Consider the following 19,618-nt stretch of genomic DNA (forward strand, 5'->3'; position numbering starts at 1 on the left):
GAAATGTATACCCAGGATCAGGTATTATTCTACGTGCCTTATGTGTATTAACTCATTTAAATCTCAGAGTAACCTTATGAGGTAGGTATTTACCATTACACCCAATTTGCAGATGAGAAAACTAAGGCAGCAGAGATAATTATGTGAGCTACCAAACCTTAGCTAACTATTAAGTGGCGGAGCTGGTATTCACAGATAGGCAGAGCAACTTTTGATTGTCCATACAGGGTTGACACACTTTGTAGATCCTGTAATGGCCAATGCTTAGTCAATAATTTGACTTAACTTTAGTATTTGGAACGCGAACTTTAATATTAATGTAAAGAAAACATAATGGGCTGGGCGTGGTGGCTCACACCTGTAATCCCAACACTTTGGGAGGCTGAGGCGAGCTGATCACTTAAGTCAGGAGTTCGAGACCAGCCTGGCCAACATGGTGAAACCCTGTTGCTACTAACAATAACAAAATTAGCCGGGTGTGGTGGTGTGTGCCTATAATTCCAGCTACTCGGGAGGCTGAGGCAGGAGAATCGCTTGAACTGGGGAGGCAGAGATTTCAGTGAGTTGAGATTGCGCCACTGCCCTCCAGCCTGGGCCACAGAGTGAGACTCGGTCTCAAAAAAATAAAATAAAATAAATGAGAAAACATAATGATGGCAATAATGATAGCATAATGTTATCTAAACTTGGAAAACTTGGAAGCATTTCAGAGCTTTTGGATTGTCGTCCTTTTGCTTCTGTGGACTTTCTTTTTTTTTTTTTTGAGACGGAGTCTCACTCTGTTGCCCAGGCTGGAGTGCAGTGGCGCAATCTCGGCTCACTGCAAGCTCTGCCTCATGGGTTCACGCCATTCTCCTGTCTCAGCCTCCCGAGTAACTGGGACTACAGACGCCCGCCGCCATGCCTGGCTAATTTTTTTGTATTTTTAGTAGAGACGGGGTTTCACCGTGTTAGCCAGGATGGTCTCGATCTCCTGACCTCATGATCCGCCTGCCTCGGCCTCCCAAAGTGCTGGGATTACAGGCGTGAGCTACTGCGCCCAGCCGCCTCTGTGTACTTTCTAGAAGTGGTCCCCAGTTCAAGATGCCTGCTCCACCCTGGGCCATGACCGGTGACTCTGGCCCGAGTCTTAATGTGGAGTTGACTTCTGGTCCCTTCAGTGGGGATTTTGAGTCTGGGCCCTTCTCTTGTTTTGAATGAAATCTAACACAAATGAAAGGCATCGACAATTAACCACTGGCATTCATTTCCAAAGTATGCCGCAGTTCCAGTCACTTTGTTTGCCCTACTTTCTCCCTACGTCTTTAAGATACGAAGGCAGGAAAGCCTTGTAAGAAGCAGGGCTGTCAGCTCACAATGTTCACATGTATTTAAAATAAAGCATTGCAAAGGCTGGAGGAGCACTCATTTTGCCAGACTTTGTAATCTGATATCCACTGCCTTATCCAGGTATCTCACCTCATGGAGCCGAGCATTTACTGTTGGAAGCTAAGGGGTCAAGGCGGTTAGGCTGTATGGTTAGAGGGACCTTGCTGGAGAGTGGGGGCCGAATGGGAGTGAAGGTTGGCCCAGGAGGGTGGAAAATGAGATTGAGGAAGCAAAGAGCAGCATAAGAGAAAGGACTGGGCTTTGTGGTCTGGCCTGGGTTGTCTGATGCACCTCTGAGTCAGGTCTCAGGGACAAACCTTTCAACCTGTGCGCTTCAGTGCAGCCTCCTACAAAAGGGAATCCCAGAACATAACCATATCTCTGAATAAGGTGGTGAGACTTAATTATTGTCTATTAATCAACATGTTTTCAGACCCTTGGCACACTATGAGAACAAATAAATGTTATGTAATGGCAAATTAGGAGGGGTACACATTTCTGTTGGTGTATTTGCCAAGGCTGTTCAGGCCGTCCCTATCGTAGCTATCTTTCAGTGACTACTGAAGCAAAAAATAAAAAAACCCCTAAAATACTATTCGGAGAAGTATATGGATGGGAGGAAAGCTTCGGTGTGGTGTCTAGGAAGCACCCTAGACTCATAGAAGTCACTTCTGCAATTTCCAGGCTGTGAAATGTATGTGAATGGAAAGGCCTGGGTACTTGGCACGTGGCAGAATGAGTCTCCCAACAAACCTCATTTCCCCTGGAGTACAGAACATGGCATGCCCTAGAAAATGGATCTTCATCTCCGCGGGATATGAATGCATGTTTTTCGTGTAGACTGAGCATTTGAAGTTGAAGTTGTTCCTGTCTGTAGATGGCTGGACAAGGCATCGTGGAGGATTTGAGACTGGGTTTTAGGTCTGGTTCAGCCATGAGGGGTTTTGTGGCCTGTGGACTGCTTGGACATTGACCTACATTACCTTCTCCCTGTCTCAGTTTCTTCATCTATAAAATCAAGGCAGGTTGGGGGTGGGGAACAGGGAACATGAGATAATTTTCTTTTCTTTTCTTTTTTTTTTTTTGAGATAGAGTCTTGCTCTGTCACCAGGCTGGAGTGCAGTGGCGGGATCTCAGCTCACCGCAACCTCCGCCTCCCAGGTTCAAGCGATTCCCCTGCCTCAGCCTCCCAAGTAGCACCACCACACCCGGCTAATTTTTTTGTATTTTTTAGTAGAGACGGGATTTCACCATTTTGGCCAAGACGGTCTCGATCTCCTGACCTCGTGATCCGCCTGCCTCGGCCTCCCAAAGTGCTGGGATTACAGACGTGAGCCGCCGCGCCCAGCCGATGAGAAAATTTTCAAGTACCCTTGCAACCCTAAGATTCTGTGGCTCCCTGTGTAAGGAGGGCACTTGCTTTTGTTCCCGAGGGGCTTTCCTTGTGTGGCTAGGTGCAGCTCATTTCTGTTTGGAGGAAAATTTTTTTTTTTTTTTTTTGAGACAGAGCCTTGCTCTGTCACTCAGGCTGGAGTGCGGTGGTGCGATCATAGCTCACTGCAGCCTCACACTCCTGGGCTCAAGTGATTCTCCTTCCTGAACCTCCAGAGTAGCCAGGACTACAGGTGTGCACCACCATGCCTGGCTAACTTTTTTATTTTTTTGTAGAGACAGAGTTTTGCTGTGTTGCCCAGGCTGGTCTCAAACTCCTGGCCTCAAGTGATCCTCCTACTTTGGGCTCCCAAAGTGCTGGGATGACAGGCACGGGCCACTGCACTTAGCTCTGGAGGGACATTTTTGTGACTGTACTAGTAGCACAATAAGAGCTCAGGACCAGCACCCTGATCTCACTTTGTGTCAATAGCAGTGTGTCTCCTTTTTCATTAAATGAGTGCCTGCTGGATGCTGCTTTAGGAAGACTATAAATAGAAACTTCCGTGGGTCAAGCACCGTCTTTTCCCACTCATCTCACACTATGCTACTTATTCTGAAATTGCCCAATAAATACACCTATTAAGGACACAGATGATTGGTTTGTCTGAAAGTCCAGATGGAAAACAGACTCAACTTTTCTTTTTTGGTGTATATGTGTTTGTGTGTGCGTGTGTGTGTGTGTGCGCGCGCGTGCGTGTGTATGTGTGTGTGGTGGGGGAGAGAATGCACAAACACTCGAGGTGGTTTGTATATTTGACTGGTGAATTTCATAGTTGTTTTTCTGGGGTTACTTAGAATTTGAGAGTCCGTGAGAAGCATTAGGAAGAACATTACTGAGAAAAAAGGAGGGGTGGGAAGCCCCTAGACTTCTCCCCGAGGGTATCCCCGCTGCAGTCTTCTTTAGATGTTTGGATTCCCCAGTCCTCTTGTTTTGAGGCGTGATATAAATTCAGCCTCTCATACATTTAAAAATATCGGTTGAACACCTGCTATATTCTAGGCACCGAGGAGACGGCAGTGAGCAGACGAGAATGCCTGCTCTCCTGGAGCCACAGAAAATACAAGGGGCAAAGAAGGGAAAGGAACAGCACGTTAGAAGCTGCAGGTTAGGCAGGAACCAAGAGCCAAAGGGGATGTGTGGGGTGGGGTGATGGCAGCTTGAGGTGACGCTTGAATGCAGACCTGGAAAGAGCCATGGGGCTGTCTGAACGTAGACTCTTCCGGTCAAAGGCGGCCACAAGGGCAAGTGCCTGATGTGGGAGCCTGCCTGGGATTTTGCAGTGAGCCGAGATTGCACCACTGCACTCCAGCCTGGGCGACAGAGTGAGACTCCGTCTCAAAAAGAAAAAAAAAAAAATCTGCCCGCCCCCACCTCCCAAAGTGCTGGGATTACAGGCGTGAGCCACCTCACCTGGCCGAATTCCGGATGTGTTTTAAAGGTGGAGCTGGTAGGAATTGCTGGTGGACTGGATGTGGGGTGTGAGATTCCCCAAGGACCTGGGCTTGGACGAACAGTTCATTTGGTGGTTTTGTTCAGTTTCCCCAGGAATTCTCGGAGCACCTGCTCTGTCTACACATTATGGGTGCCCGTGTGCTGGGAGGCTCTGGAAACGGGCAAGCACACAGCCTTGGGCTTCTGGGCTCCCCTGGGGAGGGATTTCTGAATTTGAAGGTGAAATTCTCAGAGGGACTTTGAGGTACCTCCTCTTTTGAGGTCAGGAGTTCGAGAGCAGCCTGGCCAACGTGGTGAAACCTCGTCTCTACTAAAAATACAGAAAATTAGCTGGGTGTGGTGCTGTGCACCTGTAGTCCCAGCTACTCCGGAGGCCGAGGCAGGAGAATCGCTTGAATGCTGGAGGTGGAGATTGCAGTGAGCTGAGATTGTGCCACTGCACTCCAGCCTGGGTGACACAGTGAGACTCCATTTCAAAAAAAAAAAAAAAAAAAAAAGAAAAGGTGAAGATAACAAACTTCAGTGTCCTTATTGATTAGTAAAATGAGATTTGGGAAGTGGGAGTTTGGGTAGAGCTTGTTCCCAGAGAAGCTAATGATGACTGTGTCTCAAGTACAAATTTCTGGTTCGAACTTGGCCACTGAATGGACAGTAATTAGGTTTGCTGGTGCCAGGTGGAGATTTGTGTGCTCTCAGGGGAGGATTTCAAGGGTTAACTTGTTGAGTTTTCCTTTGGCTGGGTCTCTGTAAATCTCTTTAATCTTTCCTTTCCCCAAATAAATCTCCTTAAATCCCCTTCAATCTCTCTCCTCCTGCTTCTCCTCCTCTCTCCTCTGGGAGGGCTTAGGCATGGGTCCAGCGGAGATTTGTCACATTACTGGTCAACTTGCCCACCGGGGATATGTTTTCTTTTTTTACTTTTTAAGTTTTTATTTTATTTTCTGAGACAGAGTCTTGCTCTGTCGCCCAGGCTGGAGCGCAGTGGTCCAGTCTCGGCTCACTGCAACCTCTGCCACCCGAGTTCAAGCGATTCTCCTGCCTCAGCCTCCTGAGTAGCTGGGATTACAGGTGTTTGCTTTTTTTTTTTGAGACGGAGTCTCACTCTGTCACCCAGCCTGGAGTGCAGTGGCGTGATCTTGGCTCACTGCAACCTCCGCCTCCCGGGTTCAAGTGATTCTCCTGCCTCAGCCTCCCGAGTAGGTAGGACTACAGGCGCGTACTACCACGCCCAGCTAATTTTTGTATTTTTGGTAGAGATTATGTTTCAACGTGTTGCCCAGGCTGGTCTAAAACTTCTGACGCCAAGTGATCTGCTCACCTCAGCCTCACAAAGTGGTGGGATTACAGGCATGAGCCACTGCACTCGGCCATTATGTTTCTTTAATTAATGAAGGAACTGCTTATAGGCAGCCACCATGAAGCTGGTGCCCGAGTCAGCGGACCCACGTTATTTTCCTGATGCAAGATGGTCAATTCCGTGCTTATTTAGTGCAGGAGGACACGTGGACTCCGGGAAAGATTCCAGCCTGATCTCGGTTCACGTTGGCTATGCCCCTTTGACTTTCTGTGGTGAGGGAGATTTCTTTTTCTCCGGGGTAGTTTTTTATTAGATCTCACTTGATTTTCTTTTCTTTTCTTTTTTTTTGGTTTATTATGCAGTGTATTGATTATTCAGGCTCCAGTTAGATCAAAGGTCACCTCCAAATACATGCCGTAGGTCAAGTTCATTCCGCCACAGACCAAGTTCATTTTATATCTTCAGCTATCTGTTCTCTGTGTCTTGTGCTGTTTTTCCAAATCTTTCAGCAGGACTTAGAAATGGAGAGATTCCAGCCTGGAGTGCTGGCTCACAACTGTAATCCCAGCACTTTGGGAGAATGAGGCAGAAGGATCACTTGAGGCTGGGAGGTTGAGGCTGCAGTGAGCTATGATGGTACCACTACACCCCAGCCTGGGTGACAGAGAGAGACCGTGTCCCCATAGAGAAAGAAAAGAAAAAAGAAATGAGGGACCCAGTACAGTGGCTCATGCCTGTAATCATAGCACTTTGGGAGGCTGAGGCGAGTGGATCACCTGAGGTCAGGAGTTCAACACCTGGCCAACATGGTAAAACCCCGTCTCTACTAAAAACACCAAAATTAGCCGGCATGGTGTTGCATGCCTGTAATCCCAGCTACTCGGGAGGCTGAGGCGTGAGAAACGCTTGAGCCTGGGAGGCGAAGGTTGCAGTGGGCCGAGATTGTGCCACTCCACTCCAGCTTGGGCGACAGAGTGAGACTCTGTCTCAAAAAATAAAAGAAAAAAGAAATGGGGGATTCTGTCTCCTGGTGAACACTGAACCTTGAGAGCAAGCCTTTGATAGGGTATATTTGCTGAGGCCGGGTAAAGGAGGCAACGTAACATAACAGAAAGATCGTTCTGGTGCAGGCATTCATAGCTGAATGCCTCTGGATAGATTCCTTAATCTCTCTGAGTTTAAGAGGGAGATAGGAGTTGCTGCCTTGTGGGATTGTTGTAAGGATTCAGTGACATATGTGAGGTACCTGGCACATAACTGGGATTGAATATACAGTAACTGTCATCAAGCTGTAGTTACCTCCAGCAGCTGAGGTTGGCTTCCCTTGGACATTTGGGGCAGGTTCCATTGGGGAAGAACACGTCAGTATCTGTTGGAAATTGATTTTTTGGAAGCTCTTGTTGCAAATAGGCAGGATGGTGCATATTTAACCTCCCCCAAAATTTATGGTTTCAGCAATCATAAACAATTCTTCAGTCAGCCAGAGAAGAACAATCCACAGTTGTTCTTCCTGGTACAGTGAGTAGCTAAGAACATAGGCTCGGAGGTTACACGGATATGGGTGGAAATCCTGGGTCCACAGCTTCCTAGCTGTATGGCTTTGGGCCAATTATTTTACCATTCTGAGCCTCATGTCCTCATCTGTAAAACAGGATGACACTTGGACCTAATGTGAGGCTTGTGGTGAAGATGAAATGAGGGTGCACGGGAACCACTGAGAGCCGTGTGTGGCACGTGGGTGTGTGTGCAGTCAATGCCCGCTCTCTATCATTTATCCCTGCCCCTCAGAGGCCATTTCCACAGATTTGGAAGGCCCGCTGAGCCATTCAACATTTGCTCCCAACAGGGGTGATTAGTTCATGTAATGCTAGCATTAAGCAAAAGACTCTGCCTGAAACGTCCTCTGGCCCAGCTCCGGTGCTGGAGTGACCTAGTTAGCTGTGTGTCCCAGGCTCAGCCCTCCCCCTGGGTAGCTTCTCGGTTTTTTTTTTTTTCTCTGCACCTCTCCCTGCACCCTTAGCTGGTTTTAAAAAAATCTGTCCCTCTCTCCATCAGCCTGGGCAAGAGTGGCTTCTCACTGCATGGAGGTCTGCAGGCAGCCTGTGGCTTTTCTTTGATTCAACATGCTTTTCTTTTTGGAAAATTCCTTGTCTTTCTGCTTTGTTTCTTATTGAAACTCATGTTTTGATTTGATGACTCAAGGAACTTACTTACAGTGTCTAACCATCATGAAGTTTTGTAGTTTAAAACCTATAGGTACTGAATTTATTTTAATGCTAGAGTATTTAAAAATGGCAGCATGCATATGTATATACCCCATAAGCATATGTAACCATTTATTTAAAATACCCTTTTGGGGGATTTTTGCATGGGAGTTGGGAGAAGATCTCAAAAACTTTAAATGTCCCAGGTCACAGGATGTTAGTGTTAACACTTGGGGAGCTAATTTCCAAATCAGCCATGATTTCTCCTCTTGACCTGTCCATTTTAGTCCCTGTGGAAGCCAGACAATGTCCGGGATCTTGATTTACTGGTGCCTCTATCACAGGCTGAGCAGAGGAAGAAAAAGCTCCTCCAGCTGAAAGTAGTCAGTATTTCTAGTTGTTGAGAGGACCTTTCTCTCTCTTTCATGACCACAACACAGATCACTGAAATTGGTTTTACAATAAATTGGATTTGGTGCTGTAAATGGAATCCTAAAGGTATCGTATTAAATAAAACCTCAGACAGTTTCTGATGTTCAAGTGACAGTCTTGCCTGCCTCCCCACACAACCCTGTCCCTTCGTACAAGGCCCAAAGTGTTGTGAAAAAGAAAAACCCTAGACCTTTGTAGCTTTGAAAAATTTGTGGATGGAGAGAAGAGAAGCTGTACCAAGCCAGGAGGTATCGGAGTGACCAGCAGGCCAGCGTCCCCTGCCCCCAAATATCCTCCCATTTATGGGCTAATACTTCCTTAACCTTGAAAGAAGACTGCTTCAAATTTGCCTTAAAACTTGAGAAGATATAAATACCTCAAAATAGGTTGAGAGGCTGCCAGTCATTTACTATGTAAGTGATTTTAAGGAAAGAACTTTTTCTCAATACTTGATTAGCATTTGAATGGCAGGCAGAAGGAGGAAGAAGTAATTTCGTCCCGGGAGGCTCAAATGGGTCGCAAACTGGGGAGTTGAGGGCTGAGTGAGGCAAGGTGGTAATGATGCATTGAGGCTTTGGGGAATAGAACCCGTAAACCAACCTACATCAACTATTGCCAAATTGGGCCCTAAACTGTCCTGGGCTCTGGAAAGGGAGGCTGCTGTGTCGCTGCCTCTCCCATCTTTCTTTCTTTCTCCCGGGCCAGGCCGGGACTGCAGATACTGTCACAGCTCTACCATGGACGCCAGGGCTTCTTTAGGTTGGAATAGTGTCCACGTCACCAGGAAAAATTCCACTTCTGTAAGAAAATATGCCTCAAAACAACAACAACAGCAACAACAAGCTTTCAATGATCTCTTGGAACAGACTTTGCATATAAGTTGGGGACATCCTGTATGTGGCAATAACGTACAAGAATTATGCTCTTTGGATTTTTTGGGTGTGTGTTAGCATGGTCAGTAAAAATGGAGTTTGGGGCCCTAGTCGTGATGGACAAACAATGTTGGCTTTCTTTGGTGCTTTCAGCTTCTTGACAAATGGATATAATAACAAGACTTCCTATTTGACTGTTTTTTTTTTTTTTTTGAGATGGAGTCTTGCTCTGTCACCCAGGCAGGAGTGCAGTGGTGTGATCTTGGCTCACTGCAATCTCTGCCTCCCAGGTTCAAGCTACTCTCGTGCCTCAGCCTCCCGAGTATATGAGATAACAGGCATGCACCACCACACCCAGCTAATTTTTGTACTTTTAGTAGAGACGGGGTTTTACCATGTTGGCCAGGATGGTCTCGATCTCCTGACCTTATGATCTGCCTGCCTTGGCCTCCCAAAGTGCTGGGATTACAGGCATGAGCCACTGTGCCTGGCCCTTTTTTTTTTTTTTTTTTTTTTTTAATTGAGATGGAGTCTCGCTCTGTGGCCCAGGCTGGAGTGCAGTGGCGTAATCTCTGCTCACGGAAACCTCTGCCTCCTGGGTTCAAGTGATTCTCCTGCCTCAGCCTCCCGAGTAGCTGGGATTACAGGCGCCCACCACCACGCCTGGCTAATTTTTGTATTTTTAGTAGAGACGAGGTTTCACCATGTTGGCCAGGCTGGTCTCGATCTCCTGACCTCAAATGACCCACCCGTCTTGGCCTCCCAAAGTGCTCGGATTACAGGTGTGAGCCACCGCTCCTGGCCTATTTGACTGTTTTTTAAAAATTATAGTTAAACGCCTCCTCCAGCCATTGAATATAGCTGGCTGATATTACCTAAGTTTGGGGTTCCGTCTCCTGGCTTTGGAGCCTCCCCTACCCCCCGCCGGTCTGTGTACAGGGAAGCTGCTTCTTTCTTTCTTCCCCCTTCTTTCTTGCCTATTAAACTCTCTGCTCCTTAAAACAAAAGACAAAAAACAAAAAAGTGTGCTTAAAAAATACATAGTATAAAACTTGCCATCGTAACCATTTTGAAGTGTGCAGTTCTGTGGTGTTAAGTACATTACAGCATTGTCCAACCATCGCCACCATCCATCTCCAGAACTCTTTCATCTTCCCACATTGAACCTCCACTCCACCTATGAAACACTAACTCCCTACTCCCTCCTCCCTGACCTTCTGATACACACCGTTCCACCATCTGTCTCAGTGAATTTGGCTACTTTAGGTACCACATAGAAGTAGAATCATGTGATACAGTCATCCCTTGGTATCTGCCGGGGGCTGGTTCCAGAATCAACCTGCCGCGGATAACAAAATTTTAGGATGCTCTAGTGTCTGATATAAAATGGTGTAGTATTTGCATATAAATTTTGCACATCCTCCCATGTACTTTTTGTTTTTTGTTTTTTGTTTTTGTTTGTTTGAGATGGAGTCTCGCCCCGTCCCCCAGGCTGGAGTGCAGTGGCGCCATCTCAGCTCACTGCAAGCTCCGCCTCCCGGGTTCCCGCCATTCTCCTGCCTCAGCCTCCCGAGTAGCTGGGACTACAGGCGCCCGCCATGATGCCTGGCTAATTTTTATTTTTTATTTTTTTTATTTTTAGTAGAGACCCGGTTTCACCGTGTTAGTCAGGATAGTCGCGATCTCCTGACCTCCTGATCTGCCCGCCTCGGCCTCCCAAAGTGCTGGGATTACAGGCGCCTGCCACCACGCTGGGCTGATTTTTTGTATTTTTAGTAGAGACGGGGTTTCACTGTCTTAGCCAGGATGGTCTCAATCTCCTGACCTTGTGATCCACCCGCCTTGGCCTCCCACATTGCTGGGATTACAGGCGTGAGCCACCCCGCCCGGCCTTTTTTTTTTTTTTTGAGATAGGGTCTCACTCTGTCATGGAGGCTAGAGTGCAGTGGTGCGATCTTGGCTCACTGCAGGCTCTTCCTCCCGGGTACAAGCAATTCTCCTGTCTCAGCCTACCAAGTAGCTGTGACTACTGGTGCACGCCAGCACACCCAGCTAATTTTTGTATTTTTAGTGAAGACAGGGTTTCACCATATTGGTCAGGCTGGTCTTGAACTCTTGATCTCACATGATCCGCCCGCCTCGGCCTCCCAAAGTGCTGGGATTACAGGCGTGAACCACCGCACCCGGCCTGTTTTTTTTTTGTTTGTTTTGTTTTGTTTTTGAGACGGATTCTTGCTCTGTTGCCCTGGCTGGAGTGCAGTGGTACAGTCTCGGCCCACTGCTACCTCCTCCTCCCAGGTTCCAGCAATTCTCCTGCCTCAACCTTCCAAGTAGCCGGGATTACAGGTGCCCACCACCATGCCTAGCTAATTTTTGTATTTTTAGTACAGATGGGGTTTCACCACGTTGGCCAGGCTGGTCTCAAACTCCTGACCTCTGGTGATCTGCCCTCTTCGGCCTCCTCTCTCATGTACTTTAAATCATCTCTAGATTACTTGTAATACCCAATACAATGTAAATGTTATGTAAATAGTTGTTACACTGTATTATTTAGAGGATACTGACAAAAAAGGCTATATATGTTCAGTTCAGACACAGTTTTTGTTTCCTAAGGTTTTTTTTTTTTTTTTTTTTTTAAACAGAGTTTTGCTTTGTCACCCAGGCTGGAGTGCAGTGGCACGATCTCCGCTCACTGCAGCCTCCACCTCCCAGGTTCAAGTGATTCCCCTGCCTCAGCCTCCCCAGTAGCTGGGATCACAGGTGTGTGCCACCACACCTGGCTAATTTTTGTTTATTCATTCGTGTGTTAATGGACACAGGTTGCTTCCACCTCTTGGCTGTTGTGAATTGTACTGCTGTGAACATGGGTGTACAATGTCTGAGCCCGTGCCTCCAGTTCTTTTGGGTGTATAGCCAGAAGTGGAATTGCTGGATCAGATGGTCATTCTGTGTTTTATTTTTTCAGGAACCGCCATACTGTTTTCCACAGCTGCTTGGTGTTTTACGGTTTGCAGTGTGGTTTTTGCATCCATGATTCCTTCTGACTCTTAGTGAGTGAGCAGCAATTACTGACCTCATTTAACAGACAAGGACATGAAGGGTCAGAGAAGTTAAATGACTCAGGTGAAGAGGTTGCTAAGAGGCATGTAGAAAGTTAGGAGTCTCTTGACTCCAATGCGCATTCTCTTTTTTTTTTTTTTTTTTTTTTGAGATGGAGTCTCCCTCTGTTGCCCAGGCTGGAGTGCAGTGGCATGATCTCGGCTCACTGCAACCTCCGCCTTCTGGGTTCAAGCAATTCTCCTGCCTCGGCGCCCCTAGTAGCTGGGATTAGAGGCACGCACCACCACACCTGGCTAATTTTTTGTATTTTTAGTAGAGATGGGGTTTCATCATGTTAGCCAGGCTGGTCTTGAACTTCTGACCTCAGGTGATCCGCCCACCTAGGCCTCCCGAAGTACTAGGATTACAGGCCTGAGCCACCACGCATGGCCATCATTCTCATTTGATCAGGCTGCTAACAAGCTAGTTAGTGGAGCTGATGGGATAGAGAAGTACTGACTGATGTTAAAAAAAAAAGCAAAACCTCACGCTCTGTGCATGCATGTGTTATGGTATGGGAAGAGAAGGAGGCCATTGGAGTCAGTTGTGTGCTGATAAACTGGCCTTGGTGGGACGGCAGTTCTGATTTGTAGCTCTTGCTGATTTCTGTGGTGTGAATACTCCCACCTGGTCTGATTTCAAGCTCCCCATGGTTTAACAACCTACTTGCAAAATTCCTGACTTAGACTTTTAGGAGTCGCTGGAAGGTGGCTGTGGCATACCACTGAAGGAAGCAGAGGTCAGGAGTCTGGGTTTGAGTCCCAGCTCTGCCAGTGAAGAACTATGGAATCTTGGTTTTATCCTCTCTGATTCTTTTTTTTTTTTTGAGGTGGAGTCTCACTGTCACCCAGGCTGGAGTTCAGTGGTGCGATCTTGACTCTCTGGAACCTCTGCCTCCCAGGTTCAAGCGATTCTCCTGCCTCAGCCTCCTAAGTAGCTGGGATTATAGGTATACACCACCACGCCAGGCTAATTTTGTATGTTCAATAGAGACAGGGTTTCACCATGTTGGCCGGGCTGGTCTTGAATTCCTGACCTCAAATGATCCACCCACCTTAGCCTCCCAAAGTTCTGGGATTACAGGTGTGAGCCACCAAGCCGGCCTATCCTCTCTGAGTCCTGATGACCTTGTTTGTCAAATGGGGATAATGACACCTGCTTACGTTATGGACTTTTTATAGATCCCAAATGAGATAAGAATGTGTGCTGCTTGGTATATATTATAGTAAAGACCTCACATTAATCCATACAGGAGCAATTATGATGTTGCAAAGGTTATAGCTTTTTTTGTTTTTGTTTTTGTTTTGATACAGTGTCTCGCTCTGTCGCCCAGGCTGGAGTGCAGTGGCGCAATCTCGGCTCACTGCAAGCTCCGCCTCCCAGGTTCACGCCATTCTCCTGCCTCAGCCTCCCGAGTAGCTGGGACTACAGGCGCTTGCCACCATGCCCGGCTAATTTTTTGTATTTTTAGTAGAGACAGGGTTTCACCGTGTTAGCCAGGATGGTCTCGATCTGCTGACCTCGTGATCTGCCTGCCTCGGCCTCCCAAAGTGCTGGGATTACAGGTGTAAGCCACCACGCCCGGCCTAAAGATTATAGCTTTAAAAATGTTTCCTTCTGTGCTGGCTGGGGTGGCTCACGCCTGTAATCCCAGCACTTTGGGAGGCTGAGGTGGACCAATCAGTTGAAGTCAGGAGTTCGAGACCAGTCTGGCCAACATGGTGAAACCCTGCCTCTACTAAAAAATACAAAAAAATTAGCTGGGCGTGGTGGCACATGCCTGTAATCCCAGCTACTCGGGAGGCTGAGGTGGGAGAATCCCTGGAACCTGGGAGCCGGAGGCTGCAGTGAGCAGAGATCGCACCAATGCACTCCAGTCTGGGTGACAGAATGAGACTCCGTCTCAAAAAAACACGTTTCCTTCTCCTCAGTGTCAGTGTCACATTCACCTCTTGAAACATAGCTGTTATCTTTTGGGCAGGCTTCCTGTAGAAGTTGGGTCATATGTTGATCTTGAATCTGAAAGTTACCAACACAAACCCCAAAGTTTCATAGTCTGTTTTCTTTGGCTCTATTTCAGTGTTGTTGTATTGTTTTCATTTTCGGTTTTTAAGTGATGGTACCCTAAGAAGAACTTAAAATTAGAACAGCAACATGCCATCCTTGTAGAGAATTTGAAAAATTTGGAAGAATATAAAGAAGACAGTAAGAATCAGTTGTTGGGCTGGGCTCAGTGGCTCACACCTGTAATCCTAGCACTTTGGCAGGCCAAGGTGGGTGAATCACTTGAGGACAGGAGTTTGAGACGAGCCTGGCCAACATAGTGAAACCCCATGTCTACTAAAAATAAAAAAAAAAATTAGCCAGGCCTGGTAGCGCATGCCTGTAATCCTGGCTACTCGGGAGGCTGAGGCAGGAGAATCGCTTGAACCTAGGAGGTGGGGGTTGCAGTGAGCTGAGATTGCGTGACTGCACTCCAGCCTGGGTGACACAGCGAGACTATGTCTTAAAAAAAAAAAGAAGAGTCAATCATTGGCTGGATGGATCCTGGGCAGTCAGTCATTCTGCGGGGTGGGTGGCAGATCTAGGGAGAGACCCCAGAGATTAGTGGTGGAGCTGGACCTGTGGAGGTGGGGCTGTGGATCTAGACTCACTGGAGGTATTTCAGTATTTTACTAGGTGGTGTGCCTGAGTCACTGTGCATTGGCTGTGGATATAGGGGCGGCTTTATCCCCTATAAGATAGAGTCTTCGTGAGCACAGTGGGTGTCAGACTTGAAGTTTGTCAGTAATTCGTGTAGCTTGGCAGTGATGGTGGTGATGGCCTTGCTTGGCTTATTCTCATGGTCCCCATCTCTATCCTCATGACCACTTCTAAACACATCCCCAGAATCAGCAGCGGGACAGATCCTGTCGCCAAGATGAGACCTGACGCCACAGACTTCCAGAGAGCTAATTATACTTGTGAGAAAAAGGGGATAAAAAATATTCATATCCAAGTGTGGCTGACTCTCCCTGCTTAGAGTAAGACACAGGAAGCCAGCTTCTTAGTTGCTTCATGACATAAAATAAACACTGTTACATGCACAGTCCTGCTTTCTGCTAAGCTGCAGATGCCCTAAACCTTGAAGCCAACCCCTCTTCAGAACACAGTCTTTGGAAATTCTTGAGGTTAGATCAGTGGTCCTCAATCTTTTTGGCACCAGGGATCAGTTTCGTGGAAGACAATTTTTCCATGGACGAGGGGTGGGGGGATGGTTTCAGGATGATTCAAGCATATTACATTTATTGTGTACTTTATTCCTATTATTATTACCTATTATTATATTTATTCCTATTATTTATTTATTCCTATTATTATATTAAAATATAATGAAATAATTCTACAACTCACCGTAATGTAGAATCAGTGCGAGGCCCTGTGCTTGTTTTCCTGCAAGCCACCTGGGGGTGATGGGAGACAGTGAGGGCTCCTCAGGCATTAGATTCTCATAAGGAGCACACAACCTAGATCCCTGGTGCGCACAGTTCACAACAGGGCTTGTGTTCTGATGAGACTCTAATGCCACCGCTGACTGAACGGGAGGTGGAGCTCAGGCAGTACTGCAAGTGATGGGGGCGTCTGTAAATACTGATGAAGCTTTGCTTGGTTGCCGGCTGCTCACCTCCTGTTTTGTTGCCCAGTTCCTAACAGGCCATGGACTGGTACAGGTCCCATGGCCTGGGGGCTGTGGACCCCTGGCTTAGAAGGTGAAGTCTTTGGCCAGGCGCAGTGGCTCACACCTGTAATCCCAGCACTTTGGGAGGCCGAGGCGGGTGGATCACGAGGTCAGGAGATCGAGACCATCCTGGCTAACACAGTGAAACCCTGTCTCTACTAAAAATACAAAAAATTAGCCGGGCGCGGTGGCGGGCGCCTGTAGTCCCAGCTACTCGGGAGGCTGAGGCAGGAGAATGGCGTGAGCCCGGGAGGCGGAGCTTGCAGTGAGCCGAGATTGCGCCACTGCAGTCCGCAGTCCGGCCTGGGCGACAGAGCGAGACTCCGTCTCAAAAAAAAAAAAAAAATAAAATAAAATGTTTATTGTCCGGGCACAGTGGCTCATGCCTGTACTCCCAGCTACTTGGGAGGCTGAAGCAGGAGGTTCACTTGAGGTCAGGAGTTCCAGGCTCCTGGGAGATGGCACAGTTCCAGGCTATAGTGAGCCATGATGGCACTGCTATACTCTAGCCTGGGTCAAACAGCAAGACCCTATTAAAAAAAAAAAAGTTTGTTGGGTAAATGAATGGATAAGTGGAAGGAAAGGAGCATAGGCTTTGATTAGATTCATGAAGTTCAAATCCTAACTGTGTCATTCAGGACCTATGAGGCCTTGGGTGAGTTACATCATCTTTCTGAGTTTCTCTTCTCTCACATTTAAGTGGGGGTAACAGTACCTACCTTTCCAGCTTGTTGTGAGGTTTTGTTGCAATAACAAGAATAATAGTAAGGACTGTAGGCTGAGCACAGTGGTTCACACCTGTAATCCTAGCACTTTGGGAGGCCCAAATCATTCCACTGCACTCCAGCCTGGGTGGCAGAGTAAGACCCTGTCTCAAAAAAAAAAAAAAAGAAAGAGTATAACACATGCTGCGATTACAGGTGCTAAATGAAAGGACGTTGACTTTATTTATTTATTTATTTATTTTGAGATGGAGTCTTGCTCTGTCTCCCAGGCTGGGGTGCAGTGGCGCGATTTCGGCTCACTGCAACCTCTGTCTCCTGAGTTCAAGCGATTCTCCTGCCTCAGGCTCCCGAGTAGCTGGGACTACAGGCATGCACCACCAAGCCTGGCTAATTTTTTGTATTTTATAGAGATGGGTTTTCACTATGTTGACCAGAATGATCTCAATCTCCTGACCTCGTGCTCTGCCCACCTCTGTCTCCCAAAGTGCTGGGATTACAGGTGTGAGCCACCACACCCAGCCAGGATTTTGGACAATTGAGAGACAGATTCCAGCTTTTGTTATTGCAACAAAACCTCACAACAAGCTGGAAAGGTAGGTACTGTTACCCCCACTTAAATATGAGAGACGAGAAACTCAGGAAGATGATGTACCTTGCCAAAGGGCTCATAGGTCCTGAATGACATAGTTAGGATTTGAACTTTAAAACAACAACAACAAAACCATCAGATAGGATGGATTGAGTCTACTCCATGCCAGGCACTAAGAAAGTGTTGGTAAACAAAACGTGGTTCTTGTCCTGAGGGAACTTTTTGGGGAGACAGAAAAACATGTAATTACAGTTCAGTGTGACTGTGTATCGGTAGGAAGGTGCACATATGAAGCTGAAAAGAGGGTCATCTCATCGGGATGGGGGCTCAGGGACAGTGAGCTGGGCTGTTGCCTAAGAAAGTTCCAGAAGTCAGAAATTACATAGCATTGCTCAGTGAGTATATAATGAGTTGCTATGTGTCAAAGAGGACGCCGGCTTCTGTAGGATAAAGGAATATATAGTTTTAATAATATATTTAAATAGCATTATGTTGGCCAGGCGTGGCGGCTCACGCCTGTATTCCCAGCACTTTGAGAGGCCCAGGTGGGTGCGTCGCTTGGGGTCAGGAGGTCAAGACCAGCCTGGCCAACATGGTGAAACCCCGTCTCTACAAATACAAAAATTAGCTGAGTGTGGTGGCGCGTGCCTATAATCCCAGCTACTCGGGAGGCTGAGGCAGGGGAATTGCTTGAACCTGGGAGGCGAAGGTTGCAGTGAGCTGAGATCACGTCATTGCACTCCAGTCTGAGTAACAGAGTGAGACTCTGTCTCAAAAAAAAAAAAGCATTACGTTATTAATATATTAAATATTAAATTATTTTATTATTTATTATTTAATAATAATAGCAAATATTTACTGAGCATTTACCAGGTGTTACATACTGTGGCAAGTACAATATAGTGAGCTGCCACCTGTAACATCGTCAGTGATACATGGACTGCATATACGACAGTGGTGCCCTGGGGCAATGATAATGGAGCGGAAGCATTCCTGTTGCCTCGTTGTCGCTGTCATGATGTTGTGGTGCCATGGATTACTCACATGTTTGTGGCGATGCTGGGGTCAACAGACCTGTTACACTGCCAGTCGCACAGAAGTCCGGCACATACAATTATGTGCAGCACCTAATACTTGATAGTGATAATAAACAATGATGTTACTGGTTTATGTATTTGCTATGCTCTGCTTTTTATTGTTATTTTAGAGTATACTCCTTCTACTTATTAAAAAAAAAGTCAACGGTAGAACAGCCTCAGGCAGGTCCTCCAGGAGGTATCCAGAAAGCGTTGTTATCGTAGGAGATGATGCCAGCTCCATGCGTGATACTGTGCGTGAAGACCTTCCAGTGGGACAAGATGTGGAGGTGGAAGACGGTGATATTGATGATCCCGATCCTGTGTTGAACTACGCTAATGTGTGTGTTTGTGTTCTTTGTTTTCTTTTTTTGAGGCAGAGTCTCTAACCCAGGTTAGACTGCGGTGGCGTGATCTTGGCTCACTGCAACCTTCGCCTCCCCAGGTTCAAGCGATTCTCCTGCCACAGCCTCCTGAGTAGCTGGGACTACAGGCATGCGCCACCACGCCCGGCTAATTTTTGTACTTTAGTAGAGACGGGGTTTCACCGTGCTGGCCAGGCTGGTCTCGAACTCCTGACGTCAGGTGATCCACCCACCTCGGCCTCCCAAAGTGCTGGGATTACAGGGATGAGCCACTGCACCCGGCCTTGTGTTTTAATTTTTAACAAAATTAAAAAGTTAAAAGAATAGGAAAAAGCTTATAGAATAAGGAAATAAAGAAAATTTATTTTTTTGCAGCTATACAGTGTGTGTGTTTTAAGCTGTTATTACAAGAGTCAAAAAATTAAAAAGTTAAGTTACAGTAAGCTAATATTATCATTGATGGAAGAAAAATTAAAACAATAACTTTAGTATAGCCTAAGTGTACAATATGTATAAAGTCTACAGTAGTGTAGAGTAATGCTCTAGGCCTTCTCATTCACTCACCACTCACTCACTCACTCACTCACTCACCCAGGGTGACTTCTAGGCCCGGAAGCTCCATTCATGACTAGTGCCCTATACAGGTTCACCATTTAAAAAATCTTTTTTGAGGCCGGGCACGGTGGCTCACACCTGTAATCCCAGCACTTTGGGAGGCCAAGGTGGGTAGATCACAAGGTCAGGAGATCGAGACCATCCTGGCTAACACGGTGAAATCCCGTCTCTACTAAAAATACAAAAAATTAGTCGGGCTTAGTGGCGGGCGCCTGTAGTCCCAGCTACTCAGGAGGCTGAGGCAGGAGAATGGCGTGAACCCAGTAGGCGGAGGTTGCAGTGAGCCGAGATCGTGCCACTGCACTCCAGCCTGGGTGACAGAGCGAGACTGTCCCGAAAAAAAAAAAAACCAAAAAAAAACAAAAAAAAAC

General features: G+C 46.9%; 1 protein-coding gene across 4 annotated transcripts in view, besides 1 other annotated feature; it reads left to right on the forward strand.

The window, feature by feature from the left end:
- The window catches only part of CAMK1D (calcium/calmodulin dependent protein kinase ID), a 485,999-nt gene that overhangs the window by 2,445 nt on the left and 463,936 nt on the right, over positions 1-19,618 (forward strand). The window lies entirely within an intron of this gene.
- Positions 4,566-4,615: a silencer, noted in NCBI's record as "silent region_2144". NCBI's record gives its function as "represses an Ori minimal core promoter by ATAC-STARR-seq in GM12878 lymphoblastoid cells {active_cell/tissue: GM12878}" and the evidence as "EXISTENCE:reporter gene assay evidence [ECO:0000049][PMID:35858748]".

This window comes from Homo sapiens, chromosome 10 (assembly GCF_000001405.40).
Source record: "Homo sapiens chromosome 10, GRCh38.p14 Primary Assembly".
Lineage (NCBI taxonomy): Eukaryota > Metazoa > Chordata > Mammalia > Primates > Hominidae > Homo > Homo sapiens.